Consider the following 23708-nt stretch of genomic DNA (forward strand, 5'->3'; position numbering starts at 1 on the left):
AATACTCACAGCAGTGGAGGTAACATTGAGGTAGGGGCTGGGTTTTGTTTTTTTTTTGACTCCCACTCTGTTACCCAGGCTGGAGTGCAGTGGTGCAATCATACCTCACTGCAGCCTTGAACTCCTGGGCTCAAGTGATCCTCCCTCCTCAAGTGAGCCTCCCGAGTAGCTGGGACTACAGGTGTTCACTACTGCACCCAGTGAGGGTTGGTGGGGAGGTGTCTCGTTATGTTGCCCAGGCTGGTCTCGAACTTCTGAATCCAAGCGATCCTCCCACCTCAGCCTCCCAAAGTGCTGGGATTATAGGGGCGGGCCACTGTGCCCTTCCAAGGTAGGGGTTATTATTATCGCAATTTTACTGATGAGAAAACTGAGTCCCAGAGAAGTTGGTGACTGCTCAAGGACACAGACAGCTAGGACTTGAATTCAGGCAGCCTGGCCACAGAACCACACCATCAACCGCTATGCTATACTGTGTTTTGTAAAATGACATGATGGCCATGTGATGCAATGTAATGATACAGCAGAGTTTTGTGCTCAGGATGTAAAAATGAGTATGTGCTGCCTTTCAGGGTTATCTGTTGAGTTCTGGCTCATGACCTGAACTATTTTTTCCAAGACCCTTCCTTCTCCCACTGGGAAAGATACTATATTTGGTACCTGAACAAATAGCCTTTAAGATATCAGTTTATGGGTCTTTTTAGAATTTGTGGCTGGGTGCAGTGGCTCATGCCTGTAATCCCAGCACTTTGGGAGGACAAGGCAAGAGGATCACTTGAGGCCGGGAGTTCGAGACCAGCCAAGTCCATGTAGTGAGATCCCATCTCTACAAAAAATTTAAAAGTTAGCTTGGCATGGTGGCATACACCTGTTGTCCCAGCTACTCAGGAGGTGAGATGGGAAGATTGCTTGAGCCCAGGAGTTTGAGGCTGCAGTGAGCCTAGGTGACAGAGCAGGACCTCATCTATTAATTAAAAAAAAAAAAAAAGGAAAAAAGAAAAAAGAATTTGTGTTGAGTGGGATTGGAGAGTTGAAACAGACCAAGAGGTTGTCCAAGGTTGTCCTCAAAGCTGAGAAACAAGACTCAACCCTGGGTCAGTTGCAGTTGAACTTTATTCATCCGTTCACACCTGGGTCCCTCCCGGCCCCCACCTACCCTGGCCTTGCCTACTCAGGGCTTCCAAGATTGGGTGTCGGGGTGGCTTTGCTTATCCTCCAGATGCCTTCTTCCCAGGATGTGATCCGTGCCCTCCAGGATCTAAGGGATGAGGACTAAAGGGGTCTGTTCCTCCTCCAGGCAGCTGGCATGGAACCGTCCGTCTCAGCGGCTGCTTGGTGGTGGCGGTGTGGATGGGTGTGGCTCTCTGTTTGCTGGGGGGTATTCTGCCAGGATGTATAGGAAGCCACCCAGGGCTGCCACTGCTGTGGCTGTGTTGTGGGAGGAGCAGCCATCTAGGGGAGAGAGCCCCCATGAGTGCTGGGTGGCAAGAACCTTGGCCCTTTATTCAACACAGTCTCATTGAAAGTGCTTTTCAGCCAGACGCGGTGGCTCACACCTATAATCCCACACTTTGGGAGCCTGAGGTGGGCGGATCTCTTGAGATCAGGAGTTCGAGACCAGCATGAGCAACATGATGAAACCCTGTCTCTACTAAAAAAATATAAAAATTAGCCAGGTATGGTGGCACGCTCCTGTAGTCCCAGCTACTCGGGAGGATGAGGCAAGAGAATTGCTTGAACCCAGGAGGCAAAGGTTGCAGTGAGCCGAGATTGCGCCACTGTACTCCAGCCTGAGCAACAGAGCGAGAATCTGTCTCAAAAAAAAAAAAAGTGCTTTTCAGATGTCATTCCAGGCAACTTGCAAGACGCTGAGTGGGTGCTTCGGTGCTCCCTTAGGCCCCTTTTGCTGGGCCGGGTGCTCTTCCGCCAGCTGCTAAGGGCTCCCTTCTCTGGGAGGTATGTCCCTCCCAAATAACTTACCAATACAGGGATACAAAAGCCTGGCCACCTTGGCCCAGGGGGATGACTCTGGTGCAATTTATGCTCCAAGGCATTCCCCTCCCACCCCTGCGGGGGGATCTGGCCTGAGGCCGCATCCTGTCCAGCTCCTGCCTGGCTTAGCCTGCTTCCCTGACTTACGTACCTCAATAAACCCACGCACCGGAGTCCTGTCCCAGGTCCTGTGTAAGACCTTCTGAGATGGGGAAACTGAGGCTTGGGTAGCCGAGCTGAGCCCCTGGCCCTGGTGACTCCACAGCTCATTTCCTGACCCCAGTGGCCTTCCTCTTAGTTGCCTCTGGTCTGCCTGGTCCCGTGTGACCTCATGGCTCATGGAGTCAGAGTCTCAGGCCTGAGCACTTGCCTGAGATAATAACCCTTAGGTGTAGTTAGTTCTTTGAGCTCAAAGTGGGCTGCACGCCTCTAGTCTCACAATCTGTCTGCTTGTGGAAGGGAGCCAGGAATTCTTTCCTCCCTACCCAGAGACTTTGGGAAGGGGAGGGGACCCCAGCCAGGTCCGTTGAAGGGAGGGAGAATGCAGATTTCAAGGTGCCGAATGACTAACCCTGGCAGCTCATGCCTCTCAGTGGCCTACTGTATGCCAAATACAATGGGGAGGGCTTTGCACGATGATCAGTTGTTAGCCCCCAACAGTTTGGTGCCCATTTTACAGATGAGGAAAATGAGGCTCAGTGAGGTTGTGTGACTTTCGCAGCAAGTTAGAGGCAGAAGCGGGACTCGAACCCACACAACCTGACCTCAAACCCTGTGCTCCTAATCTCTACACCAGCTGCCTCCTGCTCCGTGGGCTTGTGTCATAAGTGCAAGAATCAGCACACCCCTCCTGGGCAGTTTTCTAGGCTGCTGGTCAACCTGGAGGTGTTCCAGGAAAGGCCTTGGGCTCTGGAATTTCTGTGGCTTCCGCTCCAGTCCCTAGGACAGTCCTCGTGTTGGGCTCTGGGGACGGGCAGCTGACCAGGTAGTACACAGCAGGCCCCTACCACCCTAGCCATAGGCAGCCCCAGCCCCTCTGTGTCATAAAGGCCTAGCTAGGGTAGGACCTCTGGAAGTCTCCTGGGAACTTCTCTCCCTTCTCCTGCGTGACTTTTGGTGGCAGCTACGAAACTGACTCACTGGATTTCTGCTTTCACTCTCTCCTGTCCACCTGTAGGTGGATGATGAGGCCACAGTGGGGTTGATGGAGAGATGTTTAGTTACTGGAATCATATACCCACATATGTTGGACATCCACTCTGTGAGCTGGCTATTCCATATCCCTTCCTGTTTTTGCCTGCACTTATTTATTTTTTATTTTATTTTATTTTATTTTATTATAATTATTTTTGAGACACAGTCTCACTCTGTCACCCAGGCTGGAGTGCAGTGGCACAATCTCAGCTCACTGCAACCTCTGTCTCCTGGGTTCAAGCAGATCTCCTGTCTCAGCCTTCCAGGTAGCGGGATTACAGGCATGCACCACCACGCCTGGCTAATTTTTGCATTTTTAGTAGAGATGGGGTTTCACCATGTTGGCCAGGCTGGTCTCAAACTTCTGACCTCAGGTGTTCCACCCGCCTTAGCCTCCCAAAGTGCTAGGATTACAGGCATGAGCCACTGTGGCTGTCCTATTTATTTTTTATTAATGAAAAATTGAAATCAAAGTCCTCTCTTTCTTCTTGGTTCCTCCCTTCCTGTGTCCCCCTCCTTCCCTTTCTTCTACGTTATTTCTTGACTTTCTTCTACGTTATTTCTTGCCTTTCTTCCCATCCCAATATACTTATATCCTGTTCTCACTTTCTTTACATTGGCCAACTGACCATACAGTTTATTGTCGCAACCAGGACACTTTGGAGGAAAGAGGGCACTATTCATAATGGCTCCAAGACAACAGGTGTAAACTGGGGCAGCTCTGGGAGCACTGGGCTGTGTGGCCACCAAAACTGTTCTGGTCACTTGCCCATTCATTGGCTTTCGGGTCCCTTCTCTGCCTTTCCTTATTCCAAACTCCAGCACACAGACCCCTCCAAACTACATTTCCCAGGATGTCTTGCCTACTGGTTTCGACCAACAGGAGGTGCAGGTGGAATGAGGGGAGAAGCCAGAATATTTCTCCCTTCCTCTCTCTGTCTCCCCCTTGTTCAGCCCCTGCAGGCCCTATTAACACTGCCTCCTCCTGCCATTCTCCAGCTCTAGGGAGGGTAGTGGCTTCCTGCAACAGTAAAATCTCTGGGTTTTTCCACCTTTTCTGTTTTCAGCTCTTACAACACCTCTGAGATGAGTTTCCTCTAGTAAATTCCCTCTGTTGAAGTTCCTGACGCAGGTTCTATTTTCCTGACCAGACCTTGACTTAGAAGGGTTACTGTTGCTATTTTTAACAACTGAAACTTCTCTTTTATGCTCCTTTAACAAAAGACAGTATCTCTTGGACTCCCCACTTTCTTTCTTTCTTTTTTTTTTTTTTGAGACAGGGTCTTGCTCTGTCACCTGGGCTGGAGTGCAGTGGTGCGATCTCAGCTCACTGAAGCCTCCACCTCCTGGGTTCAAGTAAATCTCATGCCTCAGACTCCCGAGTAACTGGGACTACAGGCGTGTGCCACCATGCCCAGCTAAGTTTTGTATTTTTAGTAGAGACAGGGTTTTGTTATGTTGCCCAGGCTATCTCCCCACTTTCTAAGAGGAGGCCATCAGGGACCCCCAGCCTCCCTTCCACCTCTCAACATGAAGGCCCTCTGATTAGTGCCCCTTTGGTGATGCCAAGTGCTTTTCTTCCATAGCAGAGAATAAACACAGGCCTCTGTTTTGCTAGGATATCTTAGTTTCATGTCAAGAAACTCCCTTGGGTATTTTCATTACCTGGAAATTGTTTTTCTCGCCTCTTCACTCTCCTCGAAAAATGCTGCTGATATTGAATAGCTTTAGATAATTCTTCATCTTCAGCATCTGGGAGAAGAGCAAAAGTTGAACTTCTCAAGAGAGATTTTTATTTTTTACATTTTTATTTCTTTTTACTGCTTTTATTGTAGAGACAGGGTCTCATTCTATTGGCCAGGCTGGGTGCAGTAACGCAATCATAGCTCACCACAACCTCGAACTCCCAAGCTCACAGAATCCTTCCTGCCTCAGCCTACCAAGTAGCTCGGACTACAGGCATGGACTACCATGTCCAGCTATTTAAAAAAAATTTTTTTTTGGTAGAGATGGGGTCTTGCTATGTTGCCCAGGCTGGACTTGAACTCCTGAGCTCAAGTGACCCTCCAGCCTTGGCCTCCCAAAGTACTGGATTATATGTGTGAGCCCCTGCAGCTGGTCTCAAGCTGAATTTTTAAATGTTACTCACTAAACCTCCTGCCCCCATAACATTTCAAGGAAGTTAGGTCTTCTCTTGAAACTTGAGGCTATTCCGGAAGTTTCCTCCTGCACCTGTCTGCAGATCCTTTTGCATGGCCTAAACTTGTCATCTACTGATGGTTTTCCAAACTGTGGCTCCCCAAACACCCACCATCAGAACCACTGGAGGTGCCTGTTAAAAATGGAAGTCCCTCCAAGATAAGCAAAAAACTGAGGGATTTCATTACCACTAGACTGGCCTTACAAGAAGTGCTCAAGGGAATCCTACATCTGAAAAGAAAAAGACAATAATAACTATCATGAAAACATGAAAAAGTATAAAAGTTACTGGTAGAGGAGAAATAGAAAGAAGAAAGAGAAAAGAAGCAAAACTATCACTAGAGAAAAGCCCAAACAGCAGTGATAACAATAAGAAAGGAAGAAAAAAAAATCAAAGGATATAGAAGATAACCAGAAAACAATTAATGAAATGACAGGAGTAAGTCCTCACAAGCCAATAATAACCTTGAATGCAAATTGATTCAGTCCCCCACTTAAAAGATATATAGAGTGGCTGAATGAATGAAAAAAAACGACCCAACTATATGCTGCCTACAAGAATCTCACTTCACTGGTAAAGACACATATGGAATGAAAGTGAAAGAGTGAGAAAAGATCTTCCACATAAATGGAAACCAGAAGGAAGAAGGAGTAGCTATACTTAGATAAAACAGACTTTAAGTCAAAAACTGTAAAAAGAGACAAAGAAGGTCATTATATAATGATAAGGAATTTAGCAAGAGGACATAACAATTCAAAAAATATATGTATTAAACACTGGAGAACCCTAAAGCAAATGTTATTAGATATAAAGGGAGAGATAGACTCCAATACAATAATAGCTGAAGACATCAACACCTTGCTCTCAGCATTGGACAGATCATCTAGACAGAAACTCAACAAAGAAACACTGAATTTAAACTGCACTTAAGACCAAATGAATCTAACAGACATTTACAGAACATTTCATCTAACTGCTGCAGAATATATATTCTTCTCATCAGCACATGGAACAGTCTCCAAAATAGACCATATGTTAGGCCAAAAAACAAGTCTCAGCAAATTTAAAAGAATTTAAATCATAGCAAGTATCTTCTTGACCACAATGGAATAAAACTAGAAATCAATAACAAGAGGAACTTTCAAAATTGTACAAATACAGGGAAATTAAACAACATGTTCCTGAATGACCAATGAGCAAATGAAGAAATTAAGATGAACATTTAAAAATTTCTTAACACAAGTGAAAATAGAAACACAATATGCCAAAACCTATGGGATATAGCAAAACCAGTATTAAGAGGGAAATTTACATCAATAAATACCTACATCAAAAAAGCAGAAAGATTTCAAATAACGAACTAATGATACATCCCAAGGAACTAGAAAAGCAAGACCAAATCAAGCCCCAAATTAGTAGAAGGAAAGAAATTGTAAAGATCAGAGCAGAAATAAATAAGAGACTAAAGAAACAATAGGAAAGATCAATGAAACAAAAAGTTGGTTTTTAAAAAAGATCAACAGATAAATTATTAACTAGACTAAGAAAAAAAGAGAAAAGACTCAAGTAAATGAAATCAGAAAGAAAAAGGAACTTTTACAGCTGATACCACTGAAATACAAAGGATCATTAGAGACTATTATAAACAACAAATTAGAAAACCTAGTGGAGTGTGCTGGGTGTGGTGGCTCATGCCTGTAATCCCAGCACTTTGGGAGGCCAAGGTGGGCAGATCACTTGAGGTCAGGAGTTCGAGACCAGCCTGGTCAATATGATGAAACTCAGTCTTTACTAAAAATACAAAAATTAGCCAGGCATGGTGGCGGGCGCCTGTAATTCCAGCTACTTGGGAGGCTGAGGCAGGAGAATCACTTGAACCCGGGAGGTGGAGGTTGCAGTGAGCTGAGATTGCGCCACTGCACTCCAGCTTGGGTGACAGAGCAAGACTCTGTCTCCAAAAAAAAAAAGAAAACCTAGTGGAAATGGATAAATTGCTGGACACATACGACATACTGAAATTGAACCAAGAAGAAATAGAAAACCTGAACAGACCAATTATGAGTAATGAGATTGAATGTGTAATAAAAAGTCTCCCCAAAACAAAAAGCCCAGGACCTGACAGCTTCACTGCTGAATTTTACCAAATATTTAAAGAACAAATACCAATTCTTTTCAGTCTCGTCCAGAAAATTGAAGAGGAGGAAAATTTTCCCAACTCATTCTACAAGTTCAGCATTACCCCAATACTAAAACCAGCCAAGGACAAAGCAACAACAAAAAAACTATAGGCCGATTTCCCTGATGAACCTAGATGCAAAAATCCTTAACAAAATACTAGCAAACCAAACCCAGCAACACATTAAAAACCATTCATGGCTTTCCTACTTTGACCACTTCCAGTAAGTAATGAATGTTTTGCATTTTAAAAAAAATCATTCATCATGAACAAGGGGACTTTATTGGAGGGATGCAAGGATGGTTCAACATATGCAAATCAATAAATATGATACATTACACCAATAGAATGAAAGACAAAAATCATATAATCATCTTAATAGATGCAGGAAAATGCATGTGATGAAATTTAACATCCCTTCATGATAAATCTCTCAATACGTTAGGTATAGAAGGAATGTGCCTCAATATAATAAAGGTCATATATGACAGACCCACAGCCAACATTACACTGAGTGAGGAAAAGTTGAAAGCTTTTCCTGTAAGAACTGGAACAACACAAGAGTGCCTAATTTCACCATTTTTATTTGACATAATACTAGAAGTCTTAGCCAGAGCAATTAAGCAAGAGAAACAAAAAAGGGCATCCAAATGAAAAAGGAGGAAGTCAAATTGTACCTGTTTGCAGATGACATGATCTGATAGACAGGAAACCCTAAAAGCTCCACCAAAAAAACTCTTAGAACTGATAAATGAATTCAACAAAGTTGCAGAATACAGAATAAACATACAAAAAATCAGTAGCATTTCATACACCTACAATGAACTAGCAGAAAAAGAAATCAAGAATGTAATCCTATTTATAAGAGCTAAAACCAAAATACCCAGGAATAAATTTAACCAAGGAGGTGAAAGATCTCTACAAGGAAAACTGTAAAAGACACTGATGAAAGAAATTGAAGAGAACACACAAAAAATGAAAAGACATCCCATGTTTATGGATTGGAAGAATTAATATTGTGAAAAATATCCATGCTACCGAAGTGATCTACAGATTGAATCAAAATACCAATGACATTCTTCACAGAAATAGAAAAAAAAATCCTAAAATTTGTATAGACCCACCAAAGACCCCAAATAGTGAAGCAATCCTAAGGAAAAAGAACAAAGCTGGAAGCATCACATTACTGGACTTCAAAATATGCTTCAAGGCTATAGGAAACAAAATATGGCCAGGTGCGGTGGCTGACGCCTATAATCCCAGGACTTTGGGAGGTCGAGGTAGGCAGATCACTTGAGGCCAGGGGCTCAAGACCAGCTTGGCCAACATGTAGAAACCCTGTCTCTACTGAAAATACAAATATTAGCCGGGCATGATGGTGGTGGGTGGCTGTAATCCCAGCTACTCGGGAGGCTGAGGCAGGAGAATCGCTTGAACCCGAGAGGTGGAGGTTGCAGTGAGCAAGACTGTGCTACGGCACACCATCCTGGGTGACAGAACGAGACTGTCTCAAAAAAAAAAAAAAAAAAAAAGAAGGAAAAAGAAAAGAAAAAAGGCAAATGAGCTGCATAGACATCTCTCAAAAGAAGGCATACAAATGGCCAACAGGTCTATGAAAAACGCTCACTATCCCTAATCATCAGAGAAACGCAAATCAAACCACAATGAGATAGCATCTCACACCTGTTAAAATGGCTACTATCAAAAAGACAAAAAATGGCCAAGCGCAGTGGCTCACGCCTCTAATCTCAGCACTTTAGGAGGCCGTGGCTGGTGGATCACTTTGAGCTCAGGAATTCTGGATCAGCTTGGGCAACATGGCGAAACTCTGTCTCTACAAAAAATACAAAAATTAGCCGGGTGTTGGTGGCTCCCACCTGTAGTCTCAGCTACTCAGGAAGCTGAGGCTGGAGAATCTCTTGAACCCAGGAGGCAGAGGTTGCAGTGAGCCGAGATCGCACCACTGCACTCCAGCCTGGGTGACAGAGTGAGACCCTGTCTAAAAAGAAAGAAAGAAAAAAAAAAAAGACAACAGATAACAAATGCTGGCAAAGATGAAGAGAAAGGGGAACTCTTACACACAGTTGATGGGAATGTAAATTAGTACAGACATTATGGAAAGCAGTATGGAGATTTGTCAAAAAGCTAAAAATAGGACTATCATATGATCCAGCAATCCCACTACTGGATATTTATCCAAAGGAAAGGAAATTGGTATGTTGAAGAGACATCTGCACCCCCATGTTTATTGCAGCGCTATTCACAGTAGCCAAGATACAGCAACCTGAGTTTCTATCAGCAGATGAATGGACAGAGAAAATGTGGTACACAGACCCAATGAAGTACTATTTCACCATAAAAATAACCAAATTCTTTCATTCATAGCAACATCGATGAACTTGGAGGACATTATACTAATTGAAGTAAGCCAGGCATGGAAAGATAAATGTTGCATGTCCTTCCTCGTATGTGGAAGCTAAAAAAGTTGATCTCATAGAAGTGCAGTGTTGAGGCAGGGTGCCTGTAATCCCAGCACTTTGGGAGGCCGAGGTGGGTGGATCACTTGAGGTCAGGAGTTCGTGACCAGCATGGCCAACATGGTGAAACCCCCTCTCTACTAAAAATACAAAAATTAGCTGGGCGTGGTGGCATGCACCTGTAGTCCCAGCTACTCGGGAGGCTGAGGCAGGAGAATCGCTTGTACCTGGGAGGCGGAGGTTGCATTGAGCCAAGATAGTGCCACTGCACTCCTGCCTGGGTGACAGAGCGAGACTCCATCTCTAAAAAAAAAGAAGTGGAGTGTTGAATAGTGGTTACTAGAGGTGGGGAGGGGGATGGGGGAGAGGAGATAACCAGAGGTTGGTTAGGGGATGCACTAGTACAGCCAGGAGGAGGAATAAGTGGTACCGTTCCATAGCACTATAGGGTGATTGCAAATAACAACAATTTGTGGTTTTTTTTTTTTTTTTAAAGACAGTGTCTCGCTTTGTCACCCAGGCTGAAGTGCAGTGGTGCAGTCATGGCTCACTGCAGCCTCGGCCTCCTGCTGGGCTCAAGTGATTCTCCCACCTCATTCTCCCAAGTAGCCGGGACCATAGGTGTGCGCCACCACACCCGGCTAATGTTTTTGATATTTTTGGTATAGATGGAGTTTTGCCATGTTGGCCAGGCCGGTTTCTAATTCCTGAGCTCAAGCCATCTGCCTGCCTTGGCCTCCCAAAGTGGTGGGATTATAAGGCGTAGCCTATTGTGTATTTTCAAATAGCTAGAAGAGCGAATTTGGAATGTTCCCAACACAAAGAAATGACAGATGTTTGAGGTGATGCGTCTGCTCATTACATATTGTATACATGTATGGAAATATCACACTGTACCCTATAAATATGTACAATTATTACATGTCTATTGAGAATAATAATAAAGCCAAAAATGCAAGTTCCACAGCCCCATCCCCAACCCGCCGAAGCTATACATCTGGAGGCCTAAGAATCTTCATCGTATAAACTCTTTTAAAAACGCACCATCTTATTTCAAAAGCTTTTGCTTCGTGGAGCATCCCAAGCTTCTAATGAGGACACTAGCATTTCCTGGGAGCTGCCGTGTACCTGGCACAGGCTATGCGGCTTCAAATGTATTACGTTGACTCTCCTTGCAGCTCAGGAAGGTGGGGATTACTATGCTCATTTATTTTCAGACAGGGAAATTGAGGCTGAGAGGGGTGAAGCGACTTATTGCAAAGGGACCAGCTGTCCATTGTCACATGGCTGGGAAGTGGCTGAGTCCTCTGCCTCTCCACCCTCTGCTACGTCACCTCCTCCCATGTAGTTGTTCCCAGTCACCCACCTGGAGAGCCTTTCCTGGACTTCTCTTCTTCCTCACCCTGTCGTCTCCTTTATAGCTCTTATCAGAATGTGCAATTATTTCACTTCTTGGTTTGTTTAGGTGATTTATGTTTCTTTTCCTCAGGCCTCTAGTTTTCCCTAGAGCCTAGATGGTGTCTGGTACATTAGTGGGTGCTCAATACGTACTTGCTGAATGAATGCTGATGTGGTTTGGCTGTGTCCCCACCCAAGTCTCATCTTGAATTGTAGCTCCCATAATTTCCATGTGCTGTGGGAGGGACCTGGTGGGAGGTAATTGAATCATGGGGGCCGTTTCCCCCATACCGTTCTCACGGTAATGAATAAGTCTCACAGATCTGATGGTTTTATAAGGGGTTTCCCTTTGTGCTTGCTTCTCATTCTCTCTTGTCTGCCACTATGTGAGACGTCCCTTTCGCCTTCCACTATGATTGTGAGGCCTCCCCAGCAGTGTGCAACTGTGAGTCCATTAAACCTCTTTTTCTTTATAAATCACCCAGTCTTGGGTTTGTCTTTATCATCAGCATAAAAACAGTACAATACAAATGGGCTTGTTAATGCAGCTGTAGGGGCCAACACCTTCCAATAAGACGGCCTCCTGTCTTGCCACATTTTGGCTTCCAAGGCTCCGAGCCCGTTTCTCCTTGTGTGTACACGTCTGTGTGTGTGCACCTGTAGGTTACAAATCCCTTGGCAACCTTAACACCAATGCATTGTTCCCACACCTGGCCTAGAAACTCAGAGCCACCCCCACCCCCACTGCCCCCCTTCTTAGCCAGGGCAGCAGCGCAGCTCACCAGGCTCCCCGAAGCATCCTTCCTGCTGTTTCTGCCAGCTGAGAATGGCCTCCAGCCACCGGAGCTTGTAGAAGTCGGAGAAGCCGCCCATTCCACAGAACATGACTGGAAGTAAAGACGGGGGCCCTCTGCAGGCCTGCCCCCCAGGCCCACCTCCTCCCACTCCCCAGGGCTGCCACGGTGCCACCTGCCTTCATCTGCCTGGGTTAGGCTTAGGAGGTGGGCGTTCAATGCAGAGGAGGGAAGGAGGCAGCTTGAGCCTTTGCCTGACCAACTAGGGGCTCCCATGCTTGTGTCCCGCCTCCCACTGAGGGCCTTGGTCAGGGCTGCTCCAAAGTCAGGATCAGTGGAGGAGTTTGGACACCCCAGCCAGCTAGCAGCCTCCCAAGCGCTCCCTGTCTGCCTCATCCATAAGGCTTTGTGGGTCTGTCTGCCAGTCACCTGGTCCATCTGTGTAGAGCTCCGTCACTGGGGCAGCCTTTGGGGGCAGGAAACTGTCACACAGTGGCAGGTAAAATACAGGATGCCCAGTTACATTTGAGTTTTCGATAAACAATGAATATAATTTTTGAGTGTAAGTATATCCCATGAAATAGTTGGGATAAACTTATACTAAAAATGGATTCATTGCTTATCTGAAGTTCAAATTTAACTGAGCACTCTGTATTTTTACTTGCTTAATCTGGCAACTCCGTGTGTGTGTGTGTGTGTGTGTGTGTGTGTGTGTGTGTGTGTGTGTGTGTGTGTGTGTGTGTTGGTGGGGGGACACCCTGTTCCTTTGCCCCGGGGGCAGAATGCTGGCCATACTGTTTTCCATGAAGATGTCCCGGGTAGGGTAGGCGTATCCGATGGCCTCAGCTCTGCGGTTCAAGTCCATCATGTTGGCGCAGAAGAGGTTGATATAGTCCTGGCTCTGTTGGAGTGGTCCCTGTGTGCACCCCCTCTGGGGAGACAAACACCCAAAGACAAGGGAGTCAGTGGTACAGATGACAGACACACGCCCTGCTATGGGAAAGTCTTGCAGTTCTGAGACGGTCTTGCAAGGGGCTGTGTTTAGGGCTGTGTTTAGGGCAGGTCTTTTTCTCCTTTTCGCAGGATTTCTTCCCCATGCACACCCCCAGCCTGCTGGGTTCGAGATCCAGCTCTGCCACTTAGGAGCAAACCACTTGGTTTGCTAAAGTAACCTTTCTGAGCCTCAAGAGTTTTTATCAGGAAAGGGCGAGGCCTCTAGAAACGGCACCAGAGGGGCTCTCGTAGGGGGATGACACAGCTGGGAAGTGCCCAATGTGATGCCTGGGCCACTAGGAGGTGCTCTGTGACCGATCGCGGGGGCAATGCAATGTACAACGAGCCTGAACCCGCGGGCAGCTTCAGTGCTACTCAAAGTGTGGGCCAAGAACCGGGCTGGTGACTCCCCACACTGGGAGAGAAGAACAAGAGTTGACAGCAGGCTTTAGACACTTCTGTAGCAGTGGTCAGAGTTACTTTCCACCTGCTGAATCTAATGATCAAAATAATTCCCTTGTAATATGGTTTTTATTGTATTTATAAAAATATTGGGCTGTCACAGCTTGCAGAGAAATAATAATTTTTAAATTCTGTTGAACAAAAACAGAGAGTGTCTCCTCAGCTAAGGATTTCTGGACACTGAATCACATTGTTTTTTGAATGAAGATAATGAACCCTACCTTTCTGTATGAAGAAATATATATGGCCAGGCACAGTGGCTCATGCCTCTAACCCCAGCACTTTGGGAGGCCGAGGCGGGTGGATCACGAGGTCCGGAATTCAAGACCAGCCTGGCCAACATGGTGAAACCCCATCTCTACTAAAAATACAAAAATTAGCTGGGCATAGTGGGACGTGCCTGTAATCCCAGCTACTTGGGAGGCTGAGGCAGAGAATTGCTTAAATCCGGGAGGCAGAGGTTGCAGTGAGCTGAGATCGTGCCACTGCACTCCAGCCTGGGCAACAGAGTGAGACTCCATCTCAAAAAAAAAAAAAGAAGGAAAAGAAATATACATATATATATGTATATATATATGTGTATATATATATATAGTGGTATATATATACATAGTGGTGTATATATATAGTGGTATATATAGTGATTATATATATCGTGATATATATATAGTGGTATATATATAGTGGTATATATATAGTGGCATATATATATAGTGTGTATGGTAGTATATATATAAAGAAAAGAAATATATATACTGGTGTGTGTGTATATATATATATATGCCACCATATATATATTTTTCTTTTTCTATTTTTTTATATGTATATATATAGAGAGCGGCATATATATATATAGTGGCATATATAATGTAGTAGCATGATCTCAGCTCACTACAGCCTCTGCCTCTCTGGTTCAAGCGATTCTCCTGCCTCAGCCTCCCGAGTAGCTGGAATTACAGGTGCATGCCACTATGCCCGACTAATTTTTGTATTTTTAGTAGAGACGGGATTTTACCATGTTGGCCAGGCTGGTCTCGAACTCCTGATCTCAAGTGATCCACCCACCTCAGCCTCCCAAAGTGCTGGGATTACAGGTGTGAGCCACCGTGCCCGGCCTCATTCATTTGTTTTTGTTTACAGAGTTCTTTCTGATGATTCTCTTTTATTCTCTCTTTCTCTCTCTCGTTGTGTTTTTCTGATGCCCTACAGTCCAGTTCAGCAGGCAAAGCTATCTGTTTCACTGGCCTAACAGAATCCCAAATGCCAGATCCCAAATCGGCTCAATTACACAGCAGGAGTATGATAGGGGCCCTACTTCTCCCTCCTGAGGTCCCAAGTAGAAATCCAAAGCTCTGCTTATTTTCCTGGTGTGTAGCAGACAGAACTACACTGCCATGAGCCCTTTTTCATTTATTTCTTTTTTCTTTTTTTTTGAGGCAGAGTCTTAGTCCATTGCCTGGGCTGGAGTGCAGTGGCGCAATCTTACTCACTGCAACCTCCGCCTCCCGGGTTCCAGTGATTCTCCTGCCTCAGCCTCCTCTTGTAGCTGGGATTACAGGTGCACGCCACCACGTCCAGCTAATTTTTTTTTTGTATTTTTAGTAGAGAATGGGTTTCACCATGTTGGCCCAGCTGGTTTTGAACTCCTGGCCTCAAGTGATCTGCCTGCCTTGGCCTCCCAAAGTGCTTGGATTACAGGCATGAGCCACCACGTCCGGCTGCCCCTTTTCCTTTTTCCTTCCCCTTCCCCTGGCACGGCGGGGGCTCCCTGGGCACTCACCATTCTGGCCCAGAGGAAGAAGAGCAGTTGGTGGGACAGGCAGTAGCCTGAGCAGCCGGGCTTGGTCATGAGGCTCCTGCAGAGGTCTGAGAGGCCGCAGGGCTCGCTGCTGTCCGTCCTGGGGGAAAGTGGTTCCAAGCTGTTAAGGATGGAGCGCTGACTCTGCCCTGCGTCTTCCCAGCCCCCTAGTTGTAGTTGTTGGAACTCCCAGTAGATTCCAGACACCCAGCTGGGCATGGGGGTTGACAGAGACAATACAGCAGTCCTGCATTTTGATTTGCTAAATCTGGCTGCCCTAGCCCAGGAAAGATGACGCTAGAGCTATTCTGGGGTTGAGGAAGCCACCAAGGCTGAAACTTCCTATTGCTCCATGGGCCAAATCACATCTTTTCCAGCCCCGAACAGTGGGTACTTGAACCCAGACCACTTGGAATCTGGGCCCAACATGCTTATTCCTCCTGCACCAGCCAGGCGCGGTGGCTTACACCTATAATTCTAGCACTTTGGGAGGCTGAGGCAGGCAAGTCACCTGAGGTCAGGAGTTCGAGACCAGCCTGGCCAACATGGTGAAACCCTGTCTCTACAAAAAATACAAAAATTAGCTGGGTGTGGTGGCACGTGCCTGTAATCCCAGCTACTCGGGAGGCTGAGGCAGGAGAATCACTTGAGAATCACTTGAATCCGGGAGGCAGAGGTTGCAGTGAGTTGAGATCGCATCACTGCACTCCAGCCTGGGAGACAGAGCGAGACTCCATCTCAAAATAAATAAATAAAAATAAAATAAAATAAAGTAAAAATAAAAAATACACACACAAATACAAAAATTAGCCGGGCATGGTGGCGCACATCTGTAATCCCAGCTACTCAGGAGGCTGAGGCATGAGAATCACTTGAACCTGGTAGGAGGAGCTTGCAGTGAGCCGAGAAAGAACACACCACTGCACTCCAGCCTGGGGGACAGTGAGCCTCTGTCTCAAAAAAATAAAAATAAATAAAAATTTTTAAAAAGCAGAGGTCCTTGGCTGGGGCCCAGCCCCTCCGTGAATCCAGCTGTGTCCTGGCCTAAGCACTGCTCTGAAGGATGCTGACAGGATGCGGCCTGGGCACCGGCTGCCCACTTTGCCCATGGGCCCTGCACCTAGGGCTGCCCTGGGGCCTTGTTCCAAGCCCACCAAACACCAGGATAAAATGAGGAGCCCAGCTAGGCTCAGTCCTGTCTTCCTGGAGCTGCATCCTCACTGGGGATGGGGACAGGCTCATAATACAAATGTAAATTGCATCTGTGGCTATAAGAGGTGCCAGGAGAGGCCCTCACAGGAGGTCTGCTATGTGCTGGGGTCAGAGATAGGATGGGGTTGGAGGTAGGATGCTGGCGCCAGCCCTGGAGGATGGGCAGACTTCCTGAGGCCCAGGGGGTGGAGTGGGTGGGGTGGGGGGAGCAAAGTCTTTGAAGTGGGAGGAAGCCTTGGAGAGTCTGAAAAGAGGCCTCTAGGGGCCTGGAGACTTGGAACTGCGGAGAGGAATTGGGGATTTGTCCTGGGGCCTGGAGGTGGTGTGTTCAGCCATGGCTGCTGGAAGGCCTGCTGTGGCATGGGAGGCCAGCGGGCGGCTGGAGCAAGGGGGACCCTGCTGGAGTAGGAGAGGGCAGTACCCGGCAGCTACAGGGAGCTGCACCTGTGTCTGCACAAACCCCTGGCTTCAGCCCTAGGGCTTGGAGAAGGAGGAGCGGGACAGGACCAGCTGAGAACTAGTGCGTTTGGGTTTCCAGCAAATAGGGCAAGTGCAGGGCCCACCCGGTTCCCAGCAGCTGCACCAGGCACACGTCACTTCTCTCCTCTGAGAATGAGTCCTGGGGCCCGAACGTGGGGTACACCAAGGAGGCATCAGTGTGGATCCAGGCATGTGGGAGCTTCCAAAACCCGGGCTGGAGGGTCAGCTGGAACTCTGGCAGAGAGGACAGATAGATGGGGTGGGGTGTGGGGGTGACCCAGGAGCAGTGGGCCACCCTGGTGTCCCCACCTCCTCCTGCAGCCCTGCCCACTGGCAGGTGCAGCTCAGGGCTCTAAGCCCTGTCCCCTGGTCCCAGATTGGGTTTGAAACACTCAAGAAAGCTCCTTTTGCTTATAAAACCATTTTTTCCCCTAATCAATAGGAACAGTGATGGGACGGGATTTGACTAAACCCACTGCATCCCATGGAAACCCCAGATAAATAAAAGGTTTAGTTTCCCAGGTGCAGGGCTCACGCCTGTCATCCCAGCACTTGGGGAGGCTAAGGAAGGAAGATCGCTTGAGGCCCAACGTTCAAGACCAGCCTAGGCAACATAGCAAGACTCTGTCTCCACAAAAATAAAAAAAGTAGCCAGGTGTGGTGGTGTGCACCTGTAGTCCCAGCTGAGGCAGGAAGGTTGCTTGAGTCTAGAAGTTGGAGAATGCAGTGAGCTATGATCAGCCTTTTTTTTTTTTTTTTTTTTTTTTAAGAGGCAGGGCCAAGAGCGGTGGCTCACGCCTATAATCCCAGCACTTTCGGAAGCCAAGGCGGGCGAATCACTTGAGGTCAGGAGTTCAAGACCAGTCTGGCTAACACAGTGAAATCCCATCTCTACTAAAAATACAAAAAATTAGCTGGGTGTGGTGGCAGGTGCCTGTAGTCCCAGCTACTCAGGAGGCTGAGGCAGGAGAATAGCATGAACCCGGGAGACAGAGCTTGCAGTGAGCCGAGATTGCACCACTGCACTCCAGCCTGGGTGACAGAGCAAGACTCCATCTCAAGAAAAAAAAAAAAAAAAAAAAGCCGGGCGTGGTGGCGCATGCCTGTAGTCCCAGCTACTTGAGAGAGGCTAAAGCAGGAAAATCACTTGAACCCAGGTTGCAGAGGTTGCAGTGAGCTGAGATCGCACCACTGCACTCCAGCCTGGGCGACAGGGTGAGACTCTGTCTCAAAAAAAAAAAAAAAAAAAAAAAAAAAGAGAGACAGAGTGAGACACTGTCTCAAAAAAAAAAAAAAAAAAAACCCCCCCAAAAAAAAAAACAAGTGGGGAGGTGGAATTAGTGGGGAGGTGATATTGGTAGACCTTTTGGTTTGGTGAGAACGTGGAGCTCTTAACTAAACAGATGCCCAGTCATAGATATCTTTAAGATGACATAGGTGGGGACAGTGTTAGGGACCAGGCCTGGGAGAGGGTGGGGGACCTTAAAATTGGAAAGGTCAGCATGGGCTATGGTCCCTGCGGCTGGACTGCCGTGTGAGCATGAAGCGTGGCCTGGCTACCTCCCCGCTCACCCCCATGCATCTGATGGGAGTGGGGAGCAGAGGGGACAGGGTTGGAGCAGCATGATGGACTGGTTATTTGTGCCCCGCCCTTGCCATCCAGGAACAACTCAGCCAAACTTATTAGATGGGACCTTTTGCAGGGTCACTCGGGGCTGGTGAGGAGAGAGAGACTCTCAGTGGTCATAAGGCATGAGAAAGATAAACCCCACTGTTTTGAAAAATAGTGTGTGGACAACTTCGGGAATTTCTACTGACATTTAATGAAGTGGATTAAAATAATTTGGTGACATGGGACACTACTGTTTGCTGTGCAAAGGGTTGAATTGCCTTTTGGATACTCTCCCCTCTGGGACAGCCCAGCCTCTCCGCTCTAGTCTAGGACCAGGACCTCCAGCTTGTGCGTGCGCTGAATGCTTGAGAGAAGACACCCTGCTTCCTCTGCACACCTCTGTGTGGGTAGGAGAGCCCGTCAGAGTCTGAAGTCAAGGATGACCGCACGTCCCCAGGGCTCGTCTGTGGCTTGCTCAGCAGACAGGTCCAAGTTGGTTACGGACTGTCCCAGCCCAGCCTTGCCCCAGGAGAGCCCACGCTGGGTTATTTCAGTCAATATCCCCATAGGCGCTATTCCTGAGGGAATGGGACACCCTGCGTGTGCTCACCTCTTAGGTACTTGGGATCACTCAGCTTGAGGTAGTGGAGGGATCTCTGGATGGCAGCCTCCAGCTTCTCCCCCAGCATCCCCACGCGCAGGCTCAGCGGCTGCAGCAGGGGCTCCTGGGCCCACTTCTCCCGGACACTTTTTAGCTGCTCTGGAAGGGAACAGAGTTAATTCATTCAACTATTTGGAATCGGGACCTTTTTTTGCCTTGGAACAAGAAAAAAAAATGCCCCAAAGTCTAATGCTTCCTGGGAGCCTCTCTGCCTTCTCCAGCACTCAGAGGGGAAGGATTTACTGAGCTGACTGGAAATGAGGCCAGGATGGGGGTGATCTGGGCAATGAGAATGGGTGTCAGAGTAGTAGAAGGTGGTGGCTGAGAGCTTGGTTTCTGGAGGCGGGCCTGGGTTCAAATCTTTGATACTTGAGGTTCAAATCCTCAAATCCTTGACTCATATACTTTCTTGTTGGATGGCCAGAGAAAGGTTGCAGGGTAGAGAACCACTGTGTACAGTTGAGCAGGTTGTACACTGCACAAGGGCAACACACATTTGGATCATGGGTTTGTATATGCAGTAAGACAATTTCCCAGCAGATGGCTGTCAAGTGACTTCAGGAAGGAAGTGCCTTTTTCTAATTCCCACAGAGGTACCCTGTGGGCTAGCAGTGGCTTTGTTGAGGTGGGAGACAATGGTGAAGATCCAGAGGTGGCCAGAAATTGGGGAGACATGAGTGAGAACATCCGAGTGAGAGCATTCACGCAGGGCTGAGAGGGCGAGGGATGAAGTGGGGCAGCTGCAGTCAGGTAGGAACCTTGTTAGGGAGGATGGGCTAGGTTAAGAAGGATGCTGAGGTAGTCCTCCAGGGCGACCGGCTCTGGCACGCCCCCTCTGCTCAGCCCCCTCCATGGGCAAACCCGCAGGGAAGAAGTAAAGGCTTGGGAGTGCTGACAGGGAGGGGCTCCCTGTGTGTCAGAGTGTCTCCTCCTGTGATTGCACCGGGTCTACAAAGTCCAATAGGACAGGGGTCCCCAACCTCCAGTCCATTACTGGTCTATGGCCTGTTAGGAATGGGGCCGCACAGCAGGAGGTGAGTGGTGGGTGAGCGAGCTAAGCTGCATCTGTAATTTACAGCCACTCCCCATCATTCGCTGTCACTACCGCCTGAGCTCCGCCTGCTGTCAGATCAGTGGCTGCATTCGATTCTCACAGGAGTGTGAACCCTGTTGTGAATTGCACATACGAGGGATCTAGGCTGCACACACCTTATGAGGATCTAATGCCCGATGATCTGAGACCGTCTCCTATCACCCCCAGACGGGATTATCTACTTGCAGGAAAACAGTCTCAGGGCTTCAACTGATTCTACATTGTGGCGAGTTGTATAATTATATATTATAACATAATAACAATAAACAGAAAGTGGGCTGGGCACGGTGGCTCACGCCTGTAATCCCAGCACTTTGCGAGGCCGAGGCAGGTGGATTACTTAAGTCCAGGAGTTCAAGACCAGCATGGCCAACATGGTAAAACCTCATCTCTACCAAAAATACAAAAATTAGCCGGGCGTGGTGGTGGGTACCTGTAGTCCCAGCTATTTGGGAGGCTGAGCAGGAGAATCGCTTGAACCTGGAGGTGGAGGTTGCAGTGAGCTGAGGTGGCACCACTGCACTGCAGCCTGGGCGACAGAGCGAGACTCCGTCTCAAAATAATAATAATATAATAATAATAATAAATAAAAAATAAAGTGCACAATAAATTTAATGCACGTGAATTGTCCTGAAACCCTCCCCTCCACCTCAGTCCATGGAAAAATTGCTTTCCACAAAACCAGTCCCTGGTGTCAAAAAGGTTGGGGACCACTGCAATGGGACGTAGACCCTGCCCACTGGGAGCTCATTGTTTAGAGAGACACAGGTGAGGAAGCCGTTGCTGCTAGTCAAGGATGCTCAATGCTTTGATAGATGGAAACAGTAATGGCTGACAAGTACTGAGCCCCACTGGTAAGATGACATATACACACAATCTCATGAGACACATGTGCATGATCGTGTGATACTCCCATCCACCAGCTGCAGCTGAAGGATGAGGAAACCAAAACTCCACGAGAGCAGTTAACTCAGTGCCATGCAGCCAGTTGGGGGAGATCCAGGATTTGAACCTGGGCAGTCCAGTTCTGAAGCTCTGTTCTAGGCACTGGCACTGCCTTTGCTCCCTTCTGGGCACAGTTCACGGGTGTGGTTGTATTAAGCACTGAATTCCTAGGGAATCTGTTATGGAGCAAGATTATTGAGAGGAGAAGGGGCAGTGGATGTGGGATGTGGCGTGGGTGGAGAAGCCGGGCTCACTGCAGCTGCCAAGGAGTGGGGACCCTGGTCTGAGGCTGTTAGGTGGGGCCGCTTTCCCAGTGAATGCTGCCCAGTCATGATTAAGAGAACCCCCTCCCTTCTTTGCTAAAAGAGGATAATAATAATGGGTGTAACCTCAGGGATGACGGGGAGAGGGCACTGAAGTACCCCATGCAATGCACCTGGGTTGTGCCCACATTGAGCAGATACTTAGTGAACTACAGCTTTTGCTATCACATGCGCCCCAGGAAGCACCCAGCCCTGTGGGAGCCACCTGTGTGCTTGTGTGTGTGTGTGATATGCTTGTGTGCATGCGTGCATGCGTGCTTGTGTGTGTGATGTGCATGTGTGTGTGCGTGCGTGCATGTGTGCTTGTGTGTGTGTGCATGATGTGCGCATGTGTGTGTTTACCTTGGCCTGTCTCCAGCCCCCTTCTTGGGGATCTTATAGCTCTCAAAGCTAAACAAACACTTGACTGTTTTTGCAGAACCTTCAGGAGACTTTGGCTGCAAGTGGAGGAAGTGGGGTGGGAACCCGATCTTGAGGGTCCTCAGTTTTGTCCACAGCCACCTCATTCAAGGGGAGGGGTCTTCCCACAAATATCTGTTAACGGGGCACTCTCCCTGCTCCCCTTGTTCGTGGCGTTGTGAGGAGGGGCTGTCAAATGGATCATTTCATTCTGAGAAAAAGATAATTCCCAAATCCCTTCCCATGTTGCCTTTAAATCTTTCCTACTTCTAAAAAATTGCGTAACAGTTAGCTGGGCCACAGCCGCCAGGAAGATCCAGCCCCTGGCCTCCTCTCTCCTTATAGCCGAGGCAGGCTATACTGGGGCCAGGAGTCTGCCAGGTCCCAGGCGTACAGAGCAGGGCAGGGGACAAAGCTGAGAGCTAGCTTCCCAGTGTCCAGCCAGAGGAATTGGGGCTCACTCACCTTCCAGCACTCGGACCCCCACCATGCCATCCAGGTTGATTTCAGGCAGCCTCTGTTCTAGGAAGACGGTGGCTCTCTCCAGCGCAGACAGGATCAGGTCTGCAATGGTGGCTTTACTTTCAGCAGTGTCCAGCCCAGGCAGTGAGGAGGACCACAGCGGTGGCAGTGCTGTCAGTAAGAGCAGGAGCAGCAGCCCCAGGCTGGCCATGGCCGGCCTCTGCTCACTGCTGGTCACACGCTCAGCACCCTGAGCTCTGGCCAAGCCCAGACTGCCTCTGCACGCCCTCCTCCCACCTCCTTCCCACCTCCCCCTGGCAGACATGAAGACAAGTGGCCCGGCAGGGCTGCCAAGAAGCCTGGGGTGGCCTGGGCAAAGGACTCTGGGAAGGGTGGCTGCAGGGGGATGACGGTTAGGCAGCGGAGGTTAGGCCAGTCCTGGGCGTAGAGCCTGCTGTCCACGGGATGCTGGGGAGAGGGCTGCCCGCCCTGTCCTTCTCAGCCCTGATTCTCCAGGCTCACAGGCTAGATCTTTGATCTAGCAATTGCAATTCAACCCAGAAATCCAAAAGCTCTGAAAGCAAAACGAATTTTTTTTTCTTTGTTTTTTGAAATAGGGTCTCATTCTCTTGCCTAGGCTGGAGTGCAGTGGTTTGATCACAGCTCACTGTAGCCTTGACCTCCTGGGCTCAATAGATCCTCTTGCCTCAGCCTCCTGAATAGCTGGGACAATCGGCATGTGCCACCATGTTGCCTAATTTTTGTAGCTTTTTTTAATAGAGACAGGGTCTCACTATGTTGATCAGGCTGGTCTTGAACCGCTGGCCTCAAGCGAGCCACCTTCTTTGGGCTCCCAAAGTGCTGGGATTACAGGCTGGAGCCACCACACCCAGGCTTTGTTTTAAATAAATTTGAAACAAACTCATTTGAGGGCACGTCTGCCTTGAACTGAGGCAAACTTCCTTAAAGGGGCACCGTCCAATTGAAATAGAATTGGAGCTACAAAGATGAGCCATGTGTGCATTTCGAAATTTCCT

At 48.0% G+C, this 23708-nt stretch overlaps 1 protein-coding gene across 6 annotated transcripts in view, besides 1 other annotated feature; it reads right to left on the minus strand.

Annotated features, from left to right (window-relative positions):
- The window catches only part of C16orf89 (chromosome 16 open reading frame 89), a 23185-nt gene extending 255 nt beyond the window's left edge, over positions 1–22930 (minus strand). The window contains exons 1-9 of one of the 6 annotated variants that reach the window (XM_017022972.2): positions 22675–22930; positions 19399–19548; positions 17260–17410; positions 15467–15584; positions 13027–13162; positions 12220–12324; positions 11591–11685; positions 4852–4938; positions 1096–1452 (exon numbers count right to left, since the gene is read on the minus strand). In XM_017022972.2, the coding sequence (XP_016878461.1) occupies positions 4876–4938; positions 11591–11685; positions 12220–12324; positions 13027–13162; positions 15467–15584; positions 17260–17410; positions 19399–19548; positions 22675–22882 (1026 nt within the window). In that variant the 5' untranslated portion in view covers positions 22883–22930 and the 3' untranslated portion in view covers positions 1096–1452; positions 4852–4875. Of the gene's footprint in view, positions 1–1095; positions 1811–4851; positions 4939–11590; positions 11686–12219; positions 12325–13026; positions 13163–15466; positions 15585–17259; positions 17411–19398; positions 19549–22674 lie in introns of those variants that run through there. The other 5 variants (XM_017022974.2, NM_001098514.3, NM_152459.5 and 2 more) reach the window with 5 other exon arrangements.
- Positions 16842–17136: a silencer, noted in NCBI's record as "tiled region #9075; K562 Repressive non-DNase unmatched - State 21:Repr". NCBI's record gives its function as "represses a minimal TATA promoter and a strong SV40 promoter by Sharpr-MPRA in K562 cells {active_cell/tissue: K562}" and the evidence as "EXISTENCE:reporter gene assay evidence [ECO:0000049][PMID:27701403]".

The sequence above is a fragment of the Homo sapiens genome, chromosome 16 (genome assembly GCF_000001405.40).
Source record: "Homo sapiens chromosome 16, GRCh38.p14 Primary Assembly".
NCBI lineage: Eukaryota > Metazoa > Chordata > Mammalia > Primates > Hominidae > Homo > Homo sapiens.